We start from the raw sequence: 21,233 nt of genomic DNA, 5'->3' as shown, positions 1-21,233 counted from the left end.
AGATAATTTTTTAAAAAACTGGATTATAAAATGAAGCACTTAGTAAAGCTGATGGCAGAGGTTTTAGATCTTTTGAATACAGGAAAGTGGTAAGGGCATTATAGGTATGATTCATTGAGCTAGAGGGCGTTGGTGTTCACATTTTAAAAACATAATCATGACTTATCTGGAGTCACATGTTCCATTTTATTGGCTTCCTTCATATAGAAAATATAGTAACCAGCACTACATGCCTGTGAAAAAGTGAAGCAATTGTATATTTTCTGGGTGAAGGAAGTATTCTGTACATTCTCCATGTTTTACATCATGGTATTTTGAATAACCATGCTTCCATGTTCACATCAATTTTTTGTTTTTCAATTTATGCACAGCACTTGCTCTGAAATTTGGGGACTGAGTACACCAAATACGATAGATCAGTGGGATACAACAGGCCTTTACAGCTTCTCTGAACAAACCAGGTGAATATTCTGCCCTCTGTCGAATCTTAGAGATCTTGTGGGAGGGGGGTATATTTTGAAAGACCTATATGGGGTTGCTTAGTATAATTTTGCCTAGGATGTTTCCTTAATGTAAAATAAGGCATAGCATTTAAAATATCTGCTTGCCAGTATAAAAAATATATTAAATGTTTCAGCTGATGTTTTAATCAATGCAATTCTAGTTTGAATCTTCTTTAAATTACTGTATCCCCTAAAGAATAATAATTTTGATAACTATATATTTATTTTAGCTTGAGATCAGATTATAATCTGTTGTTGGCCTAATTTTTAAGTAGATACATGATGAGTTTTGCTAAATTTCTTGTTATCAGAATCTCATCTTTATACTAATAAATACATACTTAATGAACCCCTTATATCACAATTAACAGTAGGTTAACTCATTTTTATGTTACTTTTTTTAATCACTTCATTTTCTTTTTTGCGTATATGGTATTTGTTCATTTCATCTCATCATATTCATCACCATCCACATTTATTTGTGAACTACATAAATATACCTCAGTTCTCAAAACAGTCACAACTGGGTAAAGAGTTGCAGTAGTCTGAGGAAGTTACTATCACATCATTGTTGGTATTTATCATTCTTCACACTAGTTCCTTTTCTGACTCTTCAGTCACCTCCAGAATTAATATCCTTAGAAGCATCTCTAAAATGAGTTTGATTTACTAAACATAGAAGTTGACAAAGTTTTTCAAGTATAACTGCATAAACTCTCTTTTTTAAAAAATCAGTTTTTCCCAAGTTGTTAGCCTTTCATTGGCATTTGAGTCATTTATGTGACATATTTATAAGAAACATCTGCTAGTGCTGCTGCATACTTTTATCAGATCCATTAAATAGTACATTTTTGTTCTTGATTCTCACTAAAACTAACTAAATGGCTGTCATTCTTTTCTTTATGCTTTTATTGTACTAATTTAGCCCATTTGACTGCACTTTTTTTTTTTTTTTTTTAAAGTTCCCTCCTTTCTTTTCCCCTTGCTTCCCAACAGGTCTCTTGATGGTCGTCTCCAGGTATCCCATCGAAAAGGATTGCCACATGTTATATATTGCCGATTATGGCGCTGGCCTGATCTTCACAGTCATCATGAACTCAAGGCAATTGAAAACTGCGAATATGCTTTTAATCTTAAAAAGGATGAAGTATGTGTAAACCCTTACCACTATCAGAGAGTTGAGACACCAGGTAGGAATATTGCAAGTTTTTTTCTTGGTTTTGAATTAAATGCCTGAACTTCAGTATATTTAAGTACTCTTGTGACCCAGGAAAATTTTAGTGTAAATTCTAATAAATTACCTTAAATTGTGCATATTATTTGGTGGTAATTAAAATTTTTTTATTTTTAAAAATTTTTAATGAGAAAACATATCTGTTTCTTGGAATAGCATATGATTTGGCATGAAAGTGCATATCCAGGAAATCCTGTAGATTGGCAGTCTGCTCAGCGCTATGCTGATGTGCTTCTACATGTCCCTGCTGCAGTAACATTTTCAAGCATTTTGCACTTGGAGTGCTTTTAGAAGTACTTTAATGACATCATTTGTATGTACACCGTTTAGTAAAGCTTGTAACAAGACTTTTCATTTAGTTAGCTGTCTACCTGAAACTATTAAAAAATATAGCAGTAGCTGCGTTTTTGGAAAATTTCCTATATCTGATTTTACAGATAAAGACAATGTTAAGTTTTCCAATGGGGATTTATGAACTTTTATGGTAATATAATATTACCAGGATCACATTGTTCCCAAAAGTTTGAGATAAATTAGAACTTGGAAATTTGGATAATAGACTACCTAAGTTAGAGCCATAATCAGATTTGTCATTTTCTCAGTAACTAGTATATATCGAGTAGGTGGACCCTAGCTTTAAAAATTAAGCTACAACTTCTCTTCTTGTTGAAAACTTTAAAAAAGGTTCCCCCACTCCCCTTTGCTCTTTGCCATTAACTTGGATTTCTTGAACTTTTTCAGTTTTGCCTCCAGTATTAGTGCCCCGACACACCGAGATCCTAACAGAACTTCCGCCTCTGGATGACTATACTCACTCCATTCCAGAAAACACTAACTTCCCAGCAGGAATTGAGCCACAGAGTAATTATATTCCAGGTATTTTTGCCTTCTGAATCTCCTAAAACTTGGATAGATACAAATTTTGTTCATAAGCATTCAAGTTTTAGTAAATTGTGGTTTCACTTTTTTAAAAATGCTTTTGAGTTTTTAATAGAAAAATTGGATTCGTTGGGTGATTATTTTGTGAAATGTATAAGCCTAGTACATTAAACAGTTTTGTTTGGAGAAGAGTTTTACTTTATATTTCATTTTCTTTTGCAGTGACTTTAATCAAAGTACTGTGAGAAGCAGAAAAGAAAAGATCTTAGTAAGTTTGTCTTAGTTGTTGAAGCTAAGCGAGATGCAGAATGTAAGCAAAACAAATGGTGTAGGAGAAAAGTACCCCCCAAACACATGTAACTGAATATCCACCCAATGATCACTTTTTCTTAGATAACTTGGTAATATTTAACAGAAATATAACATTTCTATAAGAAATATAATACTTAGTTCTATAGACATAGCAACACTTACATATTATAACACGAACGTCAGAAAACCTCCTTTAATTATGTTTCGTCTGCATCTCAGTAATTTCTGATGAAAATTGAATTCAGCTACATGGTTCTCAAATTTTGTTCTGATGTATTATGTGATCCAGTAATACTCCACGATATGATATCTGGCCTTTTCGTTTTTTATGGTTTCTTTTTTTTTTTTTTGGAGAACAACTAATACTTTGTTACTTTTCTTGTATGTTTTCCTTTTTGTTTGGTTGATTTTTCTCCCTAGCAGAAACAGCATGATGTTAGGATGAGGATTAAGCTGTAGTGTCTCGATTTCTTTCTTCCTTTTGTAATATTCTTTTATTCCACTCTTATTTTATACACTAAAAATATGTAAGGAACTTAAGAGCATTTACAAAATTCTTAAAATACAGTTTTAGTACATTTAAACAATTATTTCTTTCATGTATCCATCATGGAAATAATGCTTATTCATTGAAGATAATTTTTTAAATGTAAGGAAGAAAAAAAAGAAAAGATAACTAAGAAAGATAAGTTTTTTTTTTAAATAGCTGGTTTTACAAATGGGAAGTGGTTTTTGATTGTTTTAATGTATATTTCTTTGATTACTGTTTTATTCCAGAAGAGGATTTAAAGCTGCTTTATGGGTTGCTAGGAAATACAAACTTACTGAAGTTAAGAGAGGGAGAGGGTGGGATGTAGTATGATAACACTAGGAGGAGGGAAAACCCGGGACTATGAAACAGGGCAATTGCTAGGTAGAAAAGGGAGTGGAGTTGTGTGAACGTTGGTGTGGGGAAGGGGAGGCATTTTAAGTCGTTAGTGTGGGAATTACTGTTATTCAGCCAGCAATACTAACCTTAGGTATAAACATGCAGTCTTAGGGACAACACGCATATCCAGTAATTATTTGGAAGGCTATTCACCAGAATGTTTAGTGGCTTTCACTTGTGAAGATGTTTGGGCTCATTTTTCCTTTCTTTTTTATTCCTTTAATTATTGAGATTTGAGTATTTTATAAAGTAGAAAATCAGAAGTGGATTATACCCATTTGCTTTTCTGGACAGTGGGGCTTTATCCGGTTTCAAGCAACAGCAAAACCAAAGGGTTCACATTTTATTCCACTTAAAAGAAATTTTAACATTTTCTCAAAAATGCTAATAGCTTTATTATTTATTACAATAATGGAAAAAATAAACACAGTAAGATAACGTATTTTAAGGTTCAGCATTTCTTTCTGATTAGATCTTTGAAATACAGGTTAAACTCAAAAAGCTTAGCGCCGTTTAACTTTATTAGCTTTAACTTTTAAAATATGCATAATATGTACCCTTATTTTTATGTTCTTTGAGTATATGAAGATAATTTATTCTTAGAATTTTTGTTTTAAAAATTTGGGGGTACTGACACTTAAATGAAAAGTTTGATACTTAAAGTTTGTGGTTAGTTTATTGAATAGATATTGTAAAAGGTTATTGAAGGAGACCCTTAACCTGTATCTTCTCTTCCTCTTTTTTTTTTTTTTTTTTTTTTTTTGAGACGGTGTTTTGCTCTTGTTGCCCAGGCTGGAGTACAATGGTGTGATCTCGGCTCACCGCAGCCTCCACCTCCTGGGTTCAAATGATTCTCCTGCCTCAGCCTCCCTAGTAACTGGAATTATAGGGATGCACCACCATGCCCGGCTAATTTTGTGTTTTTAGTAGAGATGGGGTTTCTCCATGTTTGTCAGGCTGGTCTCGAACTCCCCACCTCAGGTGATCTGCCTGCCTCGGCCTCCCAAAGTGCTGGGATTACAGGCATAAGCCACCGCGCCTGGCCTCGTTCTTTTGATAATTTTAAAATTGTTTGGATATGTGTCTTTGTTATCTTGAATCGCTCAAAACTGTTCAGTGTAAATGTAAAACTGATGAAAGTCTTCTGAACTTATTTTTCCTCCCTGGAATTACAGTTGATTAAATTGTATACATGTTTTTATTTTACATGCAGTTTATTCAGCTATTCAGATACCTTTCTGAACATAAGTGTTTTATTCAGACAACATGTTGGAAATAATATATTAGAATCCTAATGGTTATTTTCAGGGAGCATTTTACCTCTTTATACAGTAGTCTATATTTGAATTGAATTTTCTGCTTCAAACACTTAGACTTTACCAGTTAGGAATCCTTGGAGAAACACACTTTTTAGATAGAATTCAGCCTGGACCAATCCGGAACCATACTCTACCATATTTTACCCTATAGAACTTAGTGTAAGTTGTAAGCCTGTATTATTTAATACTTTTATAATCCAAAATCTTGTGTGTTTTTTAATTTTCTAAGTACTCATAAAATAACGATGTTCATTAGATTAAACAACAACAACAAAAAATTGTAGTTACTGATGGTTTTGCAGCCTACTGATTCAGATCTGAGGCATTTTTAAAGTTACGTTTTTGGCTCTTGCCCCAGAATATGTACATATAGGAATGAGCAAGATACGTACATAATGTGTATGTCCAGAGAGTAGGATTTTATTAAAAGTGGATGTTAAGGATTCACTGCAAAATTTGGACAAGATCCTGAATTATACACCCTCAGTATGCAATATTACTTTTTATAATATTATATAACATTATTATTTGTTATTTGGAGTGATTCATTGGTTATCTCTGGTAGCTGAGAGAAAAGGTAGTGAGATTATGTTGCAGCTGTGCTTGATTTGTTTTAAACTTTTGTAGAAACGCCACCTCCTGGATATATCAGTGAAGATGGAGAAACAAGTGACCAACAGTTGAATCAAAGTATGGACACAGGTAAAAAAAATGTCTTTGAAAATTCCTCAGTTATTAGATATACATTTCTTGTATTGTTTGAAATTCACAAAAGATGTTACTCTTAAATTTAGAGAAGTTGAGACGCATACCAAAAAAGATGATCTTCTATCTTGATTTAACATATCTGAACTACCAAAGAGGTCCATGTTGTCACTGAAAAATTATAACGTATGCTACTCTGCAGAATAATTGTTATTTTTTATTAGAGTAAATGAAAATTTGAAAACATGCACATACTTTTATTTCTTTTTAAGTATTTGCTTCTGTTGAAAATTTTAGTAACCCTATGACTAAGTATCTCTCTGTGATAAAAAACCATAATTACTCAAATAACAGATTTTCAGAGGAATTTGGGGGTGAAGGATGGGGATCAGCTTTTCACTGCTTTTTTAACCTAATAGTGAGTTTTGAATTATAGTAGATTAATTTCTTATGCTTAGCTATCAACTCCAAAAAGTGATGAAGAAAAAAATTAAAGCTTTAAATCACGTCTTACGTAATAAAATGTATAACTCAGCAGAACTAATAAACTACCAGTGAAATCACTTTGATGTCATTGTAATTGTCCAGTTTGATTCATTTTACCTGTCTGTATCTTAACTGTTGGACACCTTAATATCACAACCTGACAAATTATACCATCAGTCTTTCTCCACATCTTAACACTAATGCATTCTTGGTTATGATAATCTAAATTATTTTTAAGTGGATTAACATTGGTGGGGGAGGGAGGGGTTACAATAATTCTCTTGTTTAAATCCGTTTTTTTGGACTCCCAGGTAAAGAAGTTTCTGCTGTAGCTAATCATACATTTGGGTGTTTAGGAGTACCAGATAACTAAGAAAGGTAGATAATCTAATGAACGTTGGAAATAACGTGTTATACATCTTAATGCAAATAATATTTGACTTTCCACATATGTTTTACTAAAATTAGATGACACTCTTCTTGAAGCAATAATATTCTTTTTTGCCTGTGATGGACAGCTGTTACTGTGACATTTAAAAGTGAATGATGGGAAAAGATACTGAACGTCATAAACCACAGTGAGATACTACCTCACACCTACTAGATGCTATAATCAAAAAAGGACAATAACAAATGTTGGTGAGGATGTGGAGAAATTGGAGTCCTCATATATCGCTAGTAGGAATGTTAAATGGTTCAACACTTTGGAAAAGTTTCCTGTTCCTCAAAAAGTTAAATACAGAGTTAACATATTGTGGCCAGCTATGTATCCAAGTGAACTGAAAACATGTCTACTCAAAAACTTGTACATGACCATTTATGCAGGCATTATTCTTAATATTCAAAGTTAGAAACAACTCAGATGTCCATCAAATGATGAATGGATGAATAAAATGAGGTATGTTTCTGCAATGGAATTATTCAACCATGTAAAGGAATGACAGTATAGCATGACGTGTGGCAACATGGATGGACCTTGAAAGCAGTATGTTAAGTGAAATAAGCCAGAAAAAAAAGGCTGCAGGGATTCTAATTTAGTGCACAGACACCTATTCAGCAATATAACTGAAACACAGGAGGAGCAATAATACAAGTATTCGTTATGTATGATAAATGAATCAAAGTACAAAAGTGGAGAATAAGCTGAATCAGCCAGCTAAAATAATTGCAGTGTTGGGGCTAACTTTGAACCCAACCTAATATTTCTGTTTCAGTGGAGCAGTGTTACTGGCTTTCTGAATGACAGGTTTAAAAATTACTGTATGGCAATGGGAATATGTGATTCATGAGATGCCAACAGTTAGTTTGGCTGCCAGCCTCTTACCCAATATCAGTTTCTCTCTTGGGGCCATGGCAAGAAACAATTCTGACTGATGCAGGGCTCCAATTTAGAACAAAGTTGGCCACCTCTCTAACTCTGGTTCATACCTTCCAGAAGGAAGGACATAATTAAATTCATCTTTCATAACCTGCTGTTAAAAATAATGAATTGAAATTTTTTAAAAGGGCAACCAGAGGATAAATTAGGCATAATAAGTAAGTGTACGAACAAGCACTTGTTACTTTTTTCTTTTTTTTTTTGATTTAGATTTTGCTGGTCAAGACTTTATTCTTCCTTTATAGTGGATATTAGAGATCAGGCTGGACATCGTAAGAAATTTATAAGTTCGATTAACCTTTGTAGTATTGTATAATCAGTCCCTTTTCAAGTCATGATTTTTATGAACATATTTGTTCAAACAGGTATATAGAGAAATAGAATATAATAGATCATAAGATGTGGATTTCATAACTCACAATTCAGTTTTGTATCTTCTACATACACTGTGCTTGGTCCAAGATACACAAAGAGACTTAAAGGGTTTTTTAATCTGCCTGTGTCCCAGAAGATAAAATGAGGTGCTAACCTCCAATACCTCAGAATGTGGCCTTGTTTGGGAGTAGCATCTTTGTAAATGTAGTTGTTTAAGATGAAGTCATACTGAAGTACGATGGGCCCTAATTCTATATGACTGGTGTCTTTATAAGATAGGGAGGAATGTGCTATATGAAGATGGAGGCAGGTAACTGGAGTTAGCACCTGCAAGCTGAGCAATTCCTAGGATTGTTGGGAAACCCAAAAGCTTAAGAGAAAGGCATGGAACAGATTCTCCCCTTGAGCCTTTGAGAGAGCATGGCTTTGCTGACACCTTGTCTTGGGACTTAGGTCCTTCAAAGCTCTGAAAAAATAAATTTCTGTTGTTTTAAGCCACCCAGTTTGTGGTATTTTGTTAGAGCAAGCCCTAGGAAGCTAATACAGTGAGTATTAAGATTTTGAGAGTATCCTACTAATATGTACACTTAATTATTTGTAAGTTATATACAGGTACTTCAAGTACATTTAAAAATATATACAAAAATTAGAAATTGAAGGATGAGATTAAATAAATAGAAAATACATTTTAATTTTTTCTTCTTGTAAACTACTAGTTTTTTGTACTCCTAGACAGTTTTCCCATACACTCCACTTACAAGACTTACTCCTCTTAACTAAATGCATATAATCAAAATAGCATAGTGAGACTCTGAGCTAGACTATCTGAGTTTGAAATGTTCCTCTTACATATGCTAGCTAGGTAACCTAGTTTTTAAATCTGTAAAATAGGGACAATAATAGCATTTAACTCATAGAGTATTAATAGGACTGATATTTATAAGGCATCTATGTGTTCTAACCTGTAATAAGCACTGTATGAAGGTAGTTAAAATGTTAAGAGGAGTTAACCATTAAGAAAAAGGAAGATAGTGGATTGCACAAAGATGTGAAGGAAAGTGAAGAATTGAGATCCAGACACAGAAGCACTTGATTTTTGTGGTTTAGGATCAGCTCTATAAAATAGGAAAGTAAGATTTTTGTCAAAAATGAGGGGTCAGGTTTGACAACTTCAGGATAATAGTCTTATAACAATGCCTTTTCTCTGCCATGTGTTAAACAGTTTTTGATGTAGATGTATAGCATGTCTTTCATTAGATAAATTTTTTAGTATTTTATACTTTTAGTGCTGTTATACGTTTTTGTTTTTACATTTTATTTTCCAGTTGTTCCTAGGATATGGGAAATACTTGATTTTTGTATATTCTTTTCTCCTGCATTCTTGTTAAATTGACTTTTTGGTTCTAGAATTCTGTAGATTCTTGAGGTTTTCTGCATACACAGCCATGTCATCTGTTGATAAGGACAGTTTTTTTTTGTTTGATTGTTTTTTGAGAAGGAGTTTCACTCTTGTTGCCCAGGCTAGAGTGCAATGGCATGATCTCAGCTCACTGTAACCTGAACCTCCTGAGTAGCTGGGTTTACAGGCATGCACTACCACGCCCAGCTTATTTTTCGTATTTTAGTAGAGACGGAGTTTCTCCACGTTGGTCAGGCTGGTCTCGAACTCCCAACCTCAGGTGATCCACCCGCCTCGGCCTCCCAAAGTGCTGGGATTACAGCCGTGAGCCACTGTGCCCGGCTGACAGTTTTTCTTTTTTTCCCCAGTCTTCATGCTTTTTTCTTTTTCTGTCCTAACTAAGACCTACAATAAACTGTTGAAGCTATAAGAATGGACATTTTTGCATTGTTCTGATTATAGGAAGAACACATTTCACAATTCCCCCTTTAAGTATGATGTTAATTGTGGATATTTTGGAGATTGTATCTGATTGAGGAAGTTCTTTTTCCTTTTTGTTCTTAATGTTCTAATTGTGTTTTATAAATGGCTGTTGAATTTTGTCAAATTTTTTTTCTGCGTTTATAAAGAGGATCATATAGTTTCATGGATTTGAATTGTTTTATTTTTGAGAATTTTTCCATCTATGTTTATGAGAGATTGGTCTGTAGGGTTTTTTCCCTTGTAATGTGTTTATTAGTTTTAATATCATAAAATGTGTTGGAAAGGGCTTTCTCCTGTTTTCTCGAAGAGTTTCTTTAAGGTTGGCATTATTTCTTTCTTAAATTTTTGATAGGGCTGGGCATGGTAGTTCTTGCCTGTAATCCTAGCATTTTAGGAGGCCAATGCTGGAGAATTGCTTGAGCACAGGAGGTCAAGACCAACCTAGGCAACAAAGCAAGACCCCGTCTCTACAAAAAAAAATTTTTTTTTTTTTAAATTAGCCAGGGGTAGTGGCATTCACCTGTGGTCCCAGCTACTTAAGAGGCTAAGGTGGGAGGGTCACTTGAGCCCAGGAGGTGGAGGTTGCATTGAGCCATGTTTGCGCCGCTGCACTCCAGCCTGGGCAACAGCGAGACCTTGTATTCAAAACAAAGTTTGATTTTTCCAGAGAAACCATCTCTTGTAGGAAAAGGTTTTTTAAATTGAGAATTATTTACATTTTTAATTTTGTGTATGTGTTTGATAAACTTGGATTTTGTTAGAAATGTGTTCATTTCATTTAAGTCATAGGATTGATTAATTGAGACAGGATCTCACTTCGTTGCCCAGGCTGGAGTGCAGTGGCCTGGTTGGCTCACGGCAGCCTCAACCTCCCAGGCTCAGGCAATCTTCCCCACTTTAGCCTCTCGAGAAGCTGGGACCACAGGTACATGCTACTGCACCTGGCTAATTTTTGTGTTTTATTTAGAGATAGGATTTCACCAGGTTGCCAAGGCTGGAGAATGTATTGATATAAAGTTATTTCTGATATTTGTTATTCCTTTCATATATGTGAGATCCATTTTAAAATTTATAATGTTAGTAATTTGACTTTTTAATTTTTTATTAGAATGTCTTGTAATGGATTAATCAGTAGTCTTTGTTGTCTTTGTCTCTTTTCTGTTTTGTTTGTATTCATCTTTTTGTCTGCTTACTTTTCATTTAATCTGGTCTTTTCTAGCCTCCTGTGGTGTACATTTAGATCATTGATTTGTTTATAATGTACACATTTAAAGCTATAAATTTCCCTCTAAGCTTTATGTTAGCTCTATATTACAAATTTTATGTTGTTTTTAAATTATCACTTATTTTCTAATTCTTCTTGATTCATGAGTTATTTAGAAGTTTGGGTTTTTCTTAGGAGTGTGAGGATTTTCTAGATACTTCATCAATTTCTAATTTAATTCTGTTAACAGTCCAGCATATAGTGTGTGTGACTTTAGTCCTTGGAAATTTATGAAAATTATTTTATGCTATAACTTGTAACTTATCTTGATAAGAGTTCCATATATAGTTGGAAAGAATGTATATACTATAGTGTTCCAAATGTCATTTAGGTCAGGGTGGTTGATAGTGTTTACATCTTCTTAATTCTTTATGATTTTTTAAAATCTCCTTATTTTGTCAGTTATGATAAGTGTTAAAATTTTCAGCTCTGATTTTAGAGTCATCTGTTTGTGCCTTTAGTCCTGTCAGTTTTTGCTTCGTGTGTCTTTAACCTCTGTTATTAGATGATACACATTTGGAATTATACATCTTCCAAATTAATTTGCCCTAATTATAAAATGCATTTCATATTAACATCACCATATCTTCTTTCTTACCTCTGGTTACATGATATATTTTTAATTGTTTCAGTCTATCCGAATCTTTATATTTATGGTGTGTTTCTTGTGGACAGCATATTTTTGGTTTTATTTAATCTAACAATTTTTGTCTTTTAGTTGGAAAATTTAGTCCGCTTATATTTAGAGGGATTATTGATACTGGCTTTAGGCTACCATTTTGCAATTGTTTGTCTATTTGTTCTCTCTGGTTTTTATCTGTTTGTTTTCCTGCCTTTTAGACTAATCAAATAATTTTTGTTTCATTCTGTTTACTCTCTTGGCCTTTTACCAGTAACACTTAGTATTATTTTCTCAGTTGGCATTCTCGTGATTACATTGTACTTATGTTATACCTAGAAGTTTATTTAAGTTGTAATATTTTACAACGTCATGTAAAATTTAAGAACTTTACACCACTCTAGTTTCATTCATCTACTTCTGTTGTTTGTACTATTATTGACATGTATTTTACTTAATAAAAATATATAAACCCCAAAGTTCAGTGTTATTTTTTGCTTTTGATATCAAGTTGATTTTTAAAGGAAATTAGAAGGGATAAAAAGAAGTATTTTATATTCACCTACATATTTACCAGTTTGGCTCCTTTTTGCTGCTTTTTATTCCTTTACTACAGACATTTCTTTCAGTTGTTTTAGCACCATTTTGCAGAGACATTCCTTTCTCCATTGATTTACATTGGCTCCTTTGTTGAAAATCAAGTGATAATATGTATGTGACCCTGACTTTGAGTCTGCTCTTAATCCAATTAAATGAATTTTTCATTTCAGATCCTTTATTTTTTAGCTATATAATTTCCATTTTAAAGTCTTCGATAATTTGTGTCCAGTTAATATGTAACATGGCCTGCTTTTGTTGACTGTTTTATCTCTTGATTATGGGGTCATTTTTTTCCCCCTCCATCTTTGAATATCTCTTGTTTTTTAATTGGATAGTGGGTGTTGTATATATAATAATATTAGAGATTAAAATAGATAACACTTTCTTTGGAAAGACCAACTCTTTTCTCTATTTGCCAAGTTGAGGAGCTGATCCTTTCCCTGCCCTTAGGATTTGAGTTGGAAAGGTGATAATTTGGTGCTTTAATGTCACATCACTCAGGTTTCAGGGAGGGTCAGTTCCCTACCTTATCAGAACTTTCAGATACAAATATGGCAAGACTGCATATTCTTATTTCTTTCCAGCCTTGCCCAGGACTTCCTATGCTAACATGTACTCAGCTAAAGACATGTATTAAAACTGACTGGTGAAGAGGAGCTCTGTGCTTGCAGCTTCTTCGATTCCTGTCGTCTGTGCATGGCCATTGAAATTTTAGTTGGCTTCTCCTTTGGCAAGCTCAGTCCTTTGTCTGTGTCCTGACTTGGCAGATGCTGTCAGTAGTGAAAGTGATTACCACTCTCTGTTAACTGGGGAGGAGCTCATCCCTCTCTGTAAATTAGTTCCTATGGACTTATTTGGATCTATATCTGTGTGATAACTTTAAAGAAAAATAGAATTTTTCTTTGTTTATCCACTGTTTTCTTACTGCTATTTCAGAAGCAAAGGTTTTCCCCAATCTTCTACATACTAACTATAAGGGGAACTCTGTAGGAGTTTCTAATAAAAACAAAAGCAGCCTTTTTTCTCATTATGAACAGAATTATGCTCTCATAGAAAAATTGGAAATATGTAAAACCTAAGATGCTATCGCACTGGGGATTAAGTTTTTTAAAACAAGAAATGAAAAAATGATCATTCATGCATTATATATTTCATAAGCTGAATTTGATGATTATAATGTTGTATCACTTTGGCAGGGAAGCTTAATCTCTTATTTCTACCATTATTCTGTGTCAGATAAAAGTTAAACAGTGTTCTACACATAAGATTATGATACAGCATTTCAAATTATACAACAAATGGATGTTCATTATAAAAAATTAGCATAGTCACTTTGGGAGGCCGAGGCGGGCGGATCACGAGGTCAGGAGATCGAGACCATCCCGGCTAAAACGGTGAAACCCCGTCTCTACTAAAAATACAAAAAATTAGCCGGGCGTAGTGGCGGGCGCCTGTAGTCCCAGCTACTTGGGAGGCTGAGGCAGGAGAATGGTGTGAACCCGGGAGGCGGAGCTTGCAGTGAGCCGAGATCCCGCCACTGCACTCCAGCCTGGGCGACAGAGCGAGACTCCGTCTCAAAAAAAAAAAAAAAAAAAAATTAGCATAGTTAGGCAAAATAGGAAAACTTAAGCATTATATGTAATTGCATCTAGCAAAAAATTAAAATTTTAAAAGGTTCAACTTTTACCAGAAATTAAAAAACAATGCTGTAATGAACCTCATTAAAAAATAGCTAGAAAATGACAGAGAAATTCAGTAGGATGTCAGATTCTAGAGTTCCTGTTCTTGTTTATTACACTATATGTCTGGCTGGTTTTAGGTGACATGGGGGAGAAGTGGGTGCTTTTGATACATATTGCTGAGGCTTAGAATATGACTAGTGATCATATTTGGGTTAAGGTTGAAGAAGCAACCCAGGATGATTCCCAGTTTTCTGGAAGGTTTGTGAACACTTTAGTCTGTATTCAGTAAATTAGACTTTTTAAAGCATACATTTTTATTGTATATGTTTAAGGTATATAACATGATATTTGGTGTATGTAGTGAAATGGTTGCTGTAGTCAACTAAATCCATCATCTCACATAGTCACCTTTTTATGTGTGTGATAAGAGCACCTAAAATTGACTTACTAAATTTCCAGTATACAACACAATATTGTAACTGTAGTCCTCAGGTTGTACATTAGATCTCTGGGCATATCTTACATATCTGCAACTTTATACCCTTTGACCTATAATCTCCCTATTTTCCCCCCAACCTGTAATCACCATTTTATTATGTTTCTATGTATTTGGCTTAAAAAAAAAAAACCCCACATATGAGATTATGCCATGTGTCTTTCTATGTCCACCTAATTTCCTTGGCATAATGTCTTCCAGATTCATCCATGCCAAAAGTGGTAGGATCTCCCTTTTTAAGGCAGGATAACATTCAATTGTGTGTATAACCCTCCATTTCTTTATTTATTCATCTGTTGATGGGACACTTGGGTTGTCTTCTGTATCTTTGCTATTGTGAATAAAAGCAGCAAGAGTAAAAGCAACGTGCCACATAACAAGGGAGTCTTCATTAGACAATCAGCTTTTTCAGCAGAAAGTTTGCAGGCCAGGAGAGATGGGTGGTGTATTTAAAGTGCTGAAAGAATTAAAAAACAAAACTGAAATTAGCCGGGTGTGTTGGTACACACCTGTGGTCCCAGCTACTCAGGAGGCCAAGGTGAGAAAATTGCTTGAGCCTAGGAGGTGGAGGTTGTAGTGAGCCAAGATTGTGACACTGCCCTCCAACCTGGGTGACAGAGTGAGACCCCATCTGAAAAAAAGAAAAAAGTACCCCTGCCAACCAAGAATACTATAACCAGTAAAGCTGTCCTTCAGAAATGAAGGAGAAATAAAAAATTTTTCAGACAAAAGCTGAGGGAGTTCATCAGTGCTGGTGTGGTGAGGATGGGGAGCAACAGGCACACTCATTTATTACTGGTCAGAATGAAAAATGGTATAGCCACTTTGGAAGACAGTTTGGTGATTTCTCACAAAACTAACTATATTCTTACCATATGGTTTAGCAGTCTTGCTTCTCCTTGGTATTTACCCAAATGAATTGAAAACTTAGGTCTACACAAAAACCTGCAGATTGATGTTCATAGCAGCTTTATTTATAATTTCCAAAACTTGGAAGCAACCAAGATGTTTTAATAGGTGACTAGATAAATAAACTGATATATCCAATTAATGTACAACAGGTCCTCAAGTAATAATGTCATTTCGTTACAGTGTTGATGATTGGGGAATGTTGGTTTTGTTGTACAATTATTTTGCTTAAGTCAGTTTCCAAAAACCTATGGAAGATGTTAAATGAAGACTTACTATATATGACATTCTGGAGAAGGCAGAACTATGGAAGCAGTAGAAAGATAAGTGGTTACTGAGGCTTTGTGGGAGGTAAAGAGGACTAGGTGGAGCACAGGGCATTTTTAGGGCAGTGAAACTACTCTGTTTGAAACTGTAAATGGATACACGTCATTATACATTTGTCAAAACCCAGAGAATGTATAACATAGCCCTAATGTAAATTATGGACTTTCAGTGATAATGATGTATCAGTGTAGGTTCATTATTATAACAAATGGACCATTGTGGTTTGCGGATGTTATAGGGAATTTGGGGAAGCAGGGCAGGGGTCATATGGGAGCTTTTTGTACTTTCTGTTCAGTTTTGCTGTGATCTTGAAACTACTCTAAAAAAAAAGTCTTTTTTAAATTAAAACAATTTAATGTCACCTTAAAAGATATAACAGATTTTTTTTAAAAAAAAACCTGGGTGAATATTTGCAAATAGATGACAAGTCTAAGAACTGATTTTTAAGTTTAAAAACTTACAAATCAAGAAGAAAAAGATAGTTAATAGAATTGGCTAAAAGAACAGAAATACACTGTTTACAACAAAAACAAGAAATTAAAAAATTGCTCCTTTTAAACCTATCATATTGGCAGATGTCAACATGTAGTGACACGGTGTGAAGAAACACTAGCTTATAAATTCTTAGTGAGATGAAACATTTTTGAGAGGGTATTTTGGCACTTATAAAAGTTTAACACATTTTATTTGACATTTGTTAATTTGTCAAAGGTTTGACGAATGTATCCTACAAATATATGTGAATTTGTATGCGAAGATACATGCACAGGGATTTCTGTAGATGGTTTAGCTGTAAGTAGACACTGCTAATTCACACTGGATCTCAAATAGGATATTTATAATATTCTAAGTGGAAGACCTGTGGTAGGTGAGACTCCAATAGCAGCATTTATGTATGAATAATTCATAGGCTAATCATCAGTTCGTTGCCTCTGGTTTTTTTTTTTTTAAAGGCTTCTATTAATTGTTAGCTTATTTTAAGTTTTTAAAATTTGTCTTTTTTGTAATCTGTAATTCTAACCTGTCACATCTGACTGAACGCCTGTTAATTTAAATGATCCTACTGGTCATTTCTAAGTATTTAATAGAGGAGTAAACAGTTAAAAGATATGAATAGTTGGGCAGTTTCCTCCATTTCTAATAGTGGCTTTGTTTATTTTATGTTGGTTTCAGGAAACAGCAGTGAATTTTAGCTCATTGTTCCAAATATGTTTTGACCTATCTTAGTTGTACCTGTTGTGACTTGCCAGCAGATTTGTGACTTGCCAGCAGATTTGTGACTTGCCAGCAGATTTTTCAAACTGAGAAAAAAGGAACATAACTTAATTATGTTGTGGAAGACCGTACTGTCTTCTAAAAACTAAGCATCCCTTCTCTGATTCATTTATTTATCTAGGGGCTACCATTTCACCTTTATTGCCTGGTATTTTATGTCATGGTTATAATAGTGTGTGGTAGGGAGGAGGTGTGTAAGATGGTCTGACCTATCTTACTCTTTTTTTTTTTTCCCTCTCGAGACAGAGTCTTGCTCTGTCGCCCAGGCTGGAGTGCAGTGGGATGCCCTCAGCTCACTGCAACCTCCGCCTCCTGGATTCAAGCGAGGCGACCTGCGACTCCTTGACTTTGACAATCGAGTAGTACTCCCGGTTGAAGCCCCCATTCGTATAATAATTACATCACAAGACGTCTTACACTCATGAGCTGTCCCCACATTAGGCTTAAAAACAGATGCAATTCCCGGACGTCTAAACCAAACCACTTTCACTGCTACACGACCAGGGGTATACTACGGCCATTCTTCTGCCTTAGCCTTCCGAGTAGCTGGGATTACAGGTGTATGCCACCATGCCCGACTAAGTTTTGTGTTTTCAGTAGAGATGGGGTTTCACTATGTTGGCCAGGCTGGTCTCTAACTCCTGACCTCGTGATCCACCCACCTCAGTCTCCCAAAGTGCTGGGATTACAGGCATGAGCCACCATGCCCAGCCTGACCTATCTTATTCTACAATTATGCTCTTGGTATACATTTGAAGCTTGGGTCATGCTCTTTTAGGTAACTGTGCCTAAACGTGTAGAGAATGATGATCATAAAAGAAAATATATTTTATATTTTTAATAAGATTATTTAACAATGTTTATAGCAAATGTGTTTTAAAATTGAGTTGCATGGAACTGAGCAGACTAGTTGCGCCATGATTTTTCATATGTTGTCTGTGGTGGTTCTTATTTTGTATGTTTGTGCCCCCTTATTTTCTTGATTAGATTTAGCCTGTTTACCCAAAAGAAGAAACAGATCATTTTCTAAGAAAGTGTAATTTACCAGAACTGACTCCAGAAAATAGAGCTATCTGAACAAGTCACCCTTCATAGAATAATGTCTCGTAGTAAACCCTAGAAAGTTACTAACTATAATTTCACAGAAGAATTCTACCAAACTTTTAAAGAATATGCTGTTATAATACTATTTAAACCTTTGCAGAGGATAAAGCTGCTAGATTGTCATAACATTGACCACAGAGCCTTACAAACATAGCACTCATGTAAATCTTCAGGCTTGTATTGCTTGAGACTATTGATGCAAAAATCCTAAATAAATATTTTATTACTGTTAGCCTGAAAGCCAATGCCATGCTTAATGGGAAAATGGTAGAAACATTACCCTAAAAGTCAAGAGTAAGATATCCACCGTCATCACTGTTTTATCCCAAAGTGTGACGCTAACCCAAAGATGATTGATAAATCTTGTAGAAGGGCTTTTATTTTAGTGCTACATGATCAAAATTAGGATTAAGAGTCAAAAGACCAATGATTAAATATTTGTAGCTCATACCATAAGAAGACTTACATCCCTAATACACATAAAGAGCTTTCAAACAATCAGTAAGAAAATGATCAACATCGCAAAAGAAAAGAACAGACTATCACAGGAAGGAAATATAATATAAACATGTGTAAAGCTACTCAAAATTAAAACTGTACTTGTGACCATGTTTTCATCTAGAAGCAATAACACCTCAAGCATCCCTTTACTATGTTGTGACTGGGAATGTAAACTGGTACAACCTTGATGAATGATAATTTTACCCAAATCTATCAAAATTGCAAATACACAAACCTTTCGACCTGGCAGTTTCTTGAAGAATGTATCTTTCAGATGTGATTGGAAGCGTGCAAAACGGTCAAGATTAGTTATTGCAATCTCAAAGCATTGGTTCTTATAGCAAAAGATTGAAAATAGCTTGAATATCCATCAATGTGGGATCGCGATGTTATGTGACTAATTGATATGTAGATAGACAAATAAGGAAACACATTGTGAACAATCTGATAGAATAATATAGAAGATGAAAAACGGTTACCACTTGTATATGAAAAGAAAGGACACAGAACAAAAATGTATTTGCTTATGTGGTTCATAGAGTATTTTGGAAAGATACCCAAGGAACCGTCAATATTAGATATCTTTGGGAAGATGAACTGTTGGGCTAGAAGCCAAAACTGTTGCACCTTTTATACTGGAACCCCCCCTTCTCTTCCCCCGACCCCCCACAAATTAAACTAAATTTAAGCACTTACATATTCTGAATTCTTGGTATTTAAATTATCTTTGTATTATTGTTGATAATTATAACCAGATAAAGCTAGTTTTATGATTACTTGATCAGAAGTTCTGGAAATACTTCATTTATTTTTAAATCCTTTTGTTTTAGGCTCTCCAGCAGAACTATCTCCTACTACTCTTTCCCCTGTTAATCATAGCTTGGGTAAGTTGCACATATGTTCCCCTCATCATTTTTATACTGTATCACCTACTTAATAATAAAAATCATCTCTAGGAGTTATTTTTTATATATCCGAGAAAGGGATCCTAATGAATAGCCAAATAATTATGTATGTGGTTAAAGTAGTGCTTTTTAAAAAGAATATTGACACCATCCCTCAAAATTATTAAGTCTTTTCTGCTGGCACATATAAGAAATAGGTATAATCTATTTATTATTGAAATCATATTCCTCATAGAAAATTATATAACCTGTTATGGCTAGATTTTTATGGTTATGTTTATTTTATGATGTAATTAATAAAAGGTATGTGTATTACATATATACACATTGACATAAATATGTATACATGTATACGTAGTATGGGGATTTATATATATTATACATAATATATATAATATATATAATATATAATATACATAATATATATAATATATAATATATTATACATAATATATATAATATATAATATATATTATACATAATGTATATAATATATATATAATATATAATATATATTATACATAATATATATAATATATATATAGTATATAATATATATTATACATTATATATATAATATATATATAGTATATAATATATATTATACATAATATATATAATATATATATAATATATAATATATATTATACATAATATATATAATATATATATAATATATAATATATATTATACATAATATATATTATATATATAACATATATTATACATAATATATATTATATATATAACATATATTATACATAATATATAATATATAATATATATTATGTATAATATATAATATATATTATACATAATATATATAATATATTATATATATTATACATAATATATAATATATATTATATAATATATATAATATATATTATACATATTATGTATAATATATATAACATATATTATACATAATATGTATATAACATACATAATATATATTATACATAATATATATAATATATAATATATATTATACATAATATATATAATATATAATATATAATATATATTATACATATATATAATAATATATATATACTATATATAATATATATATGAGAGTGTGCACATATATGTACAAATGTGTATGTGTATGGTCCCTTCATAACCATGAGTTCAGCATCTGCAGATTCAACCAACTGCAGATTGAAAATAATCGGGAAAAAATGAAAATAACAATACGACAGTAAAAACTAATACAAATTGTATTTATTTTTATTTATTTTTTGAGACAGAGTCTTGCTCTGTCGCCCAGGCTAGAGTGCAGTGGCGCAATCTCGGCTCACTGCAACCTCTGCCTCCTGGGTTCAAGCAATTCTCTGCCTCAGCCTCCTGAGTAGCTGGGACTACAGGTGCATGCCACCACACCCAGCTAATTTTTGTATTTTTAGTAGAGATGGGGTTTCACTATGTTGCCCAGGCTGGTCTCAAACTCCTGGCCTCAAACGAATCACCCACCTTGACCTCCTAAAGTGCTGGGATTACAGGCGTGAGCCATCGTGCTGGGCCCAAATTTTAAAATACAGTATAAC

At 33.5% G+C, this 21,233-nt stretch overlaps 1 protein-coding gene and 1 pseudogene across 6 annotated transcripts in view; both read left to right on the top strand.

The window, feature by feature from the left end:
* The window catches only part of SMAD2 (SMAD family member 2), a 121,916-nt gene that overhangs the window by 59,937 nt on the left and 40,746 nt on the right, over positions 1-21,233 (top strand). For 3 of the 6 annotated variants that reach the window (XM_047437508.1, XM_017025749.2, XM_047437507.1), the window contains 5 exons: positions 372-461; positions 1,500-1,693; positions 2,479-2,613; positions 5,803-5,877; positions 6,835-17,663. In XM_047437508.1, the coding sequence (XP_047293464.1) occupies positions 372-461; positions 1,500-1,693; positions 2,479-2,613; positions 5,803-5,877; positions 6,835-6,896 (556 nt within the window). In that variant the 3' untranslated portion in view covers positions 6,897-17,663. Of the gene's footprint in view, positions 1-371; positions 462-1,499; positions 1,694-2,478; positions 2,614-5,802; positions 5,878-6,834; positions 17,664-19,608; positions 19,663-21,233 lie in introns of those variants that run through there. The other 3 variants (NM_001003652.4, NM_005901.6, NM_001135937.3) reach the window with 2 other exon arrangements.
* MTCO2P2 (MT-CO2 pseudogene 2) lies at positions 17,464-17,706 on the top strand (annotated as a pseudogene).

Source organism: Homo sapiens, chromosome 18, assembly GCF_000001405.40.
Source record: "Homo sapiens chromosome 18, GRCh38.p14 Primary Assembly".
In the NCBI taxonomy this organism is placed as follows: Eukaryota; Metazoa; Chordata; class Mammalia; order Primates; family Hominidae; genus Homo; species Homo sapiens.
Note: the sequence above shows the minus strand (reverse complement) of the source record. Positions and strands in the feature narration are given on the sequence as shown.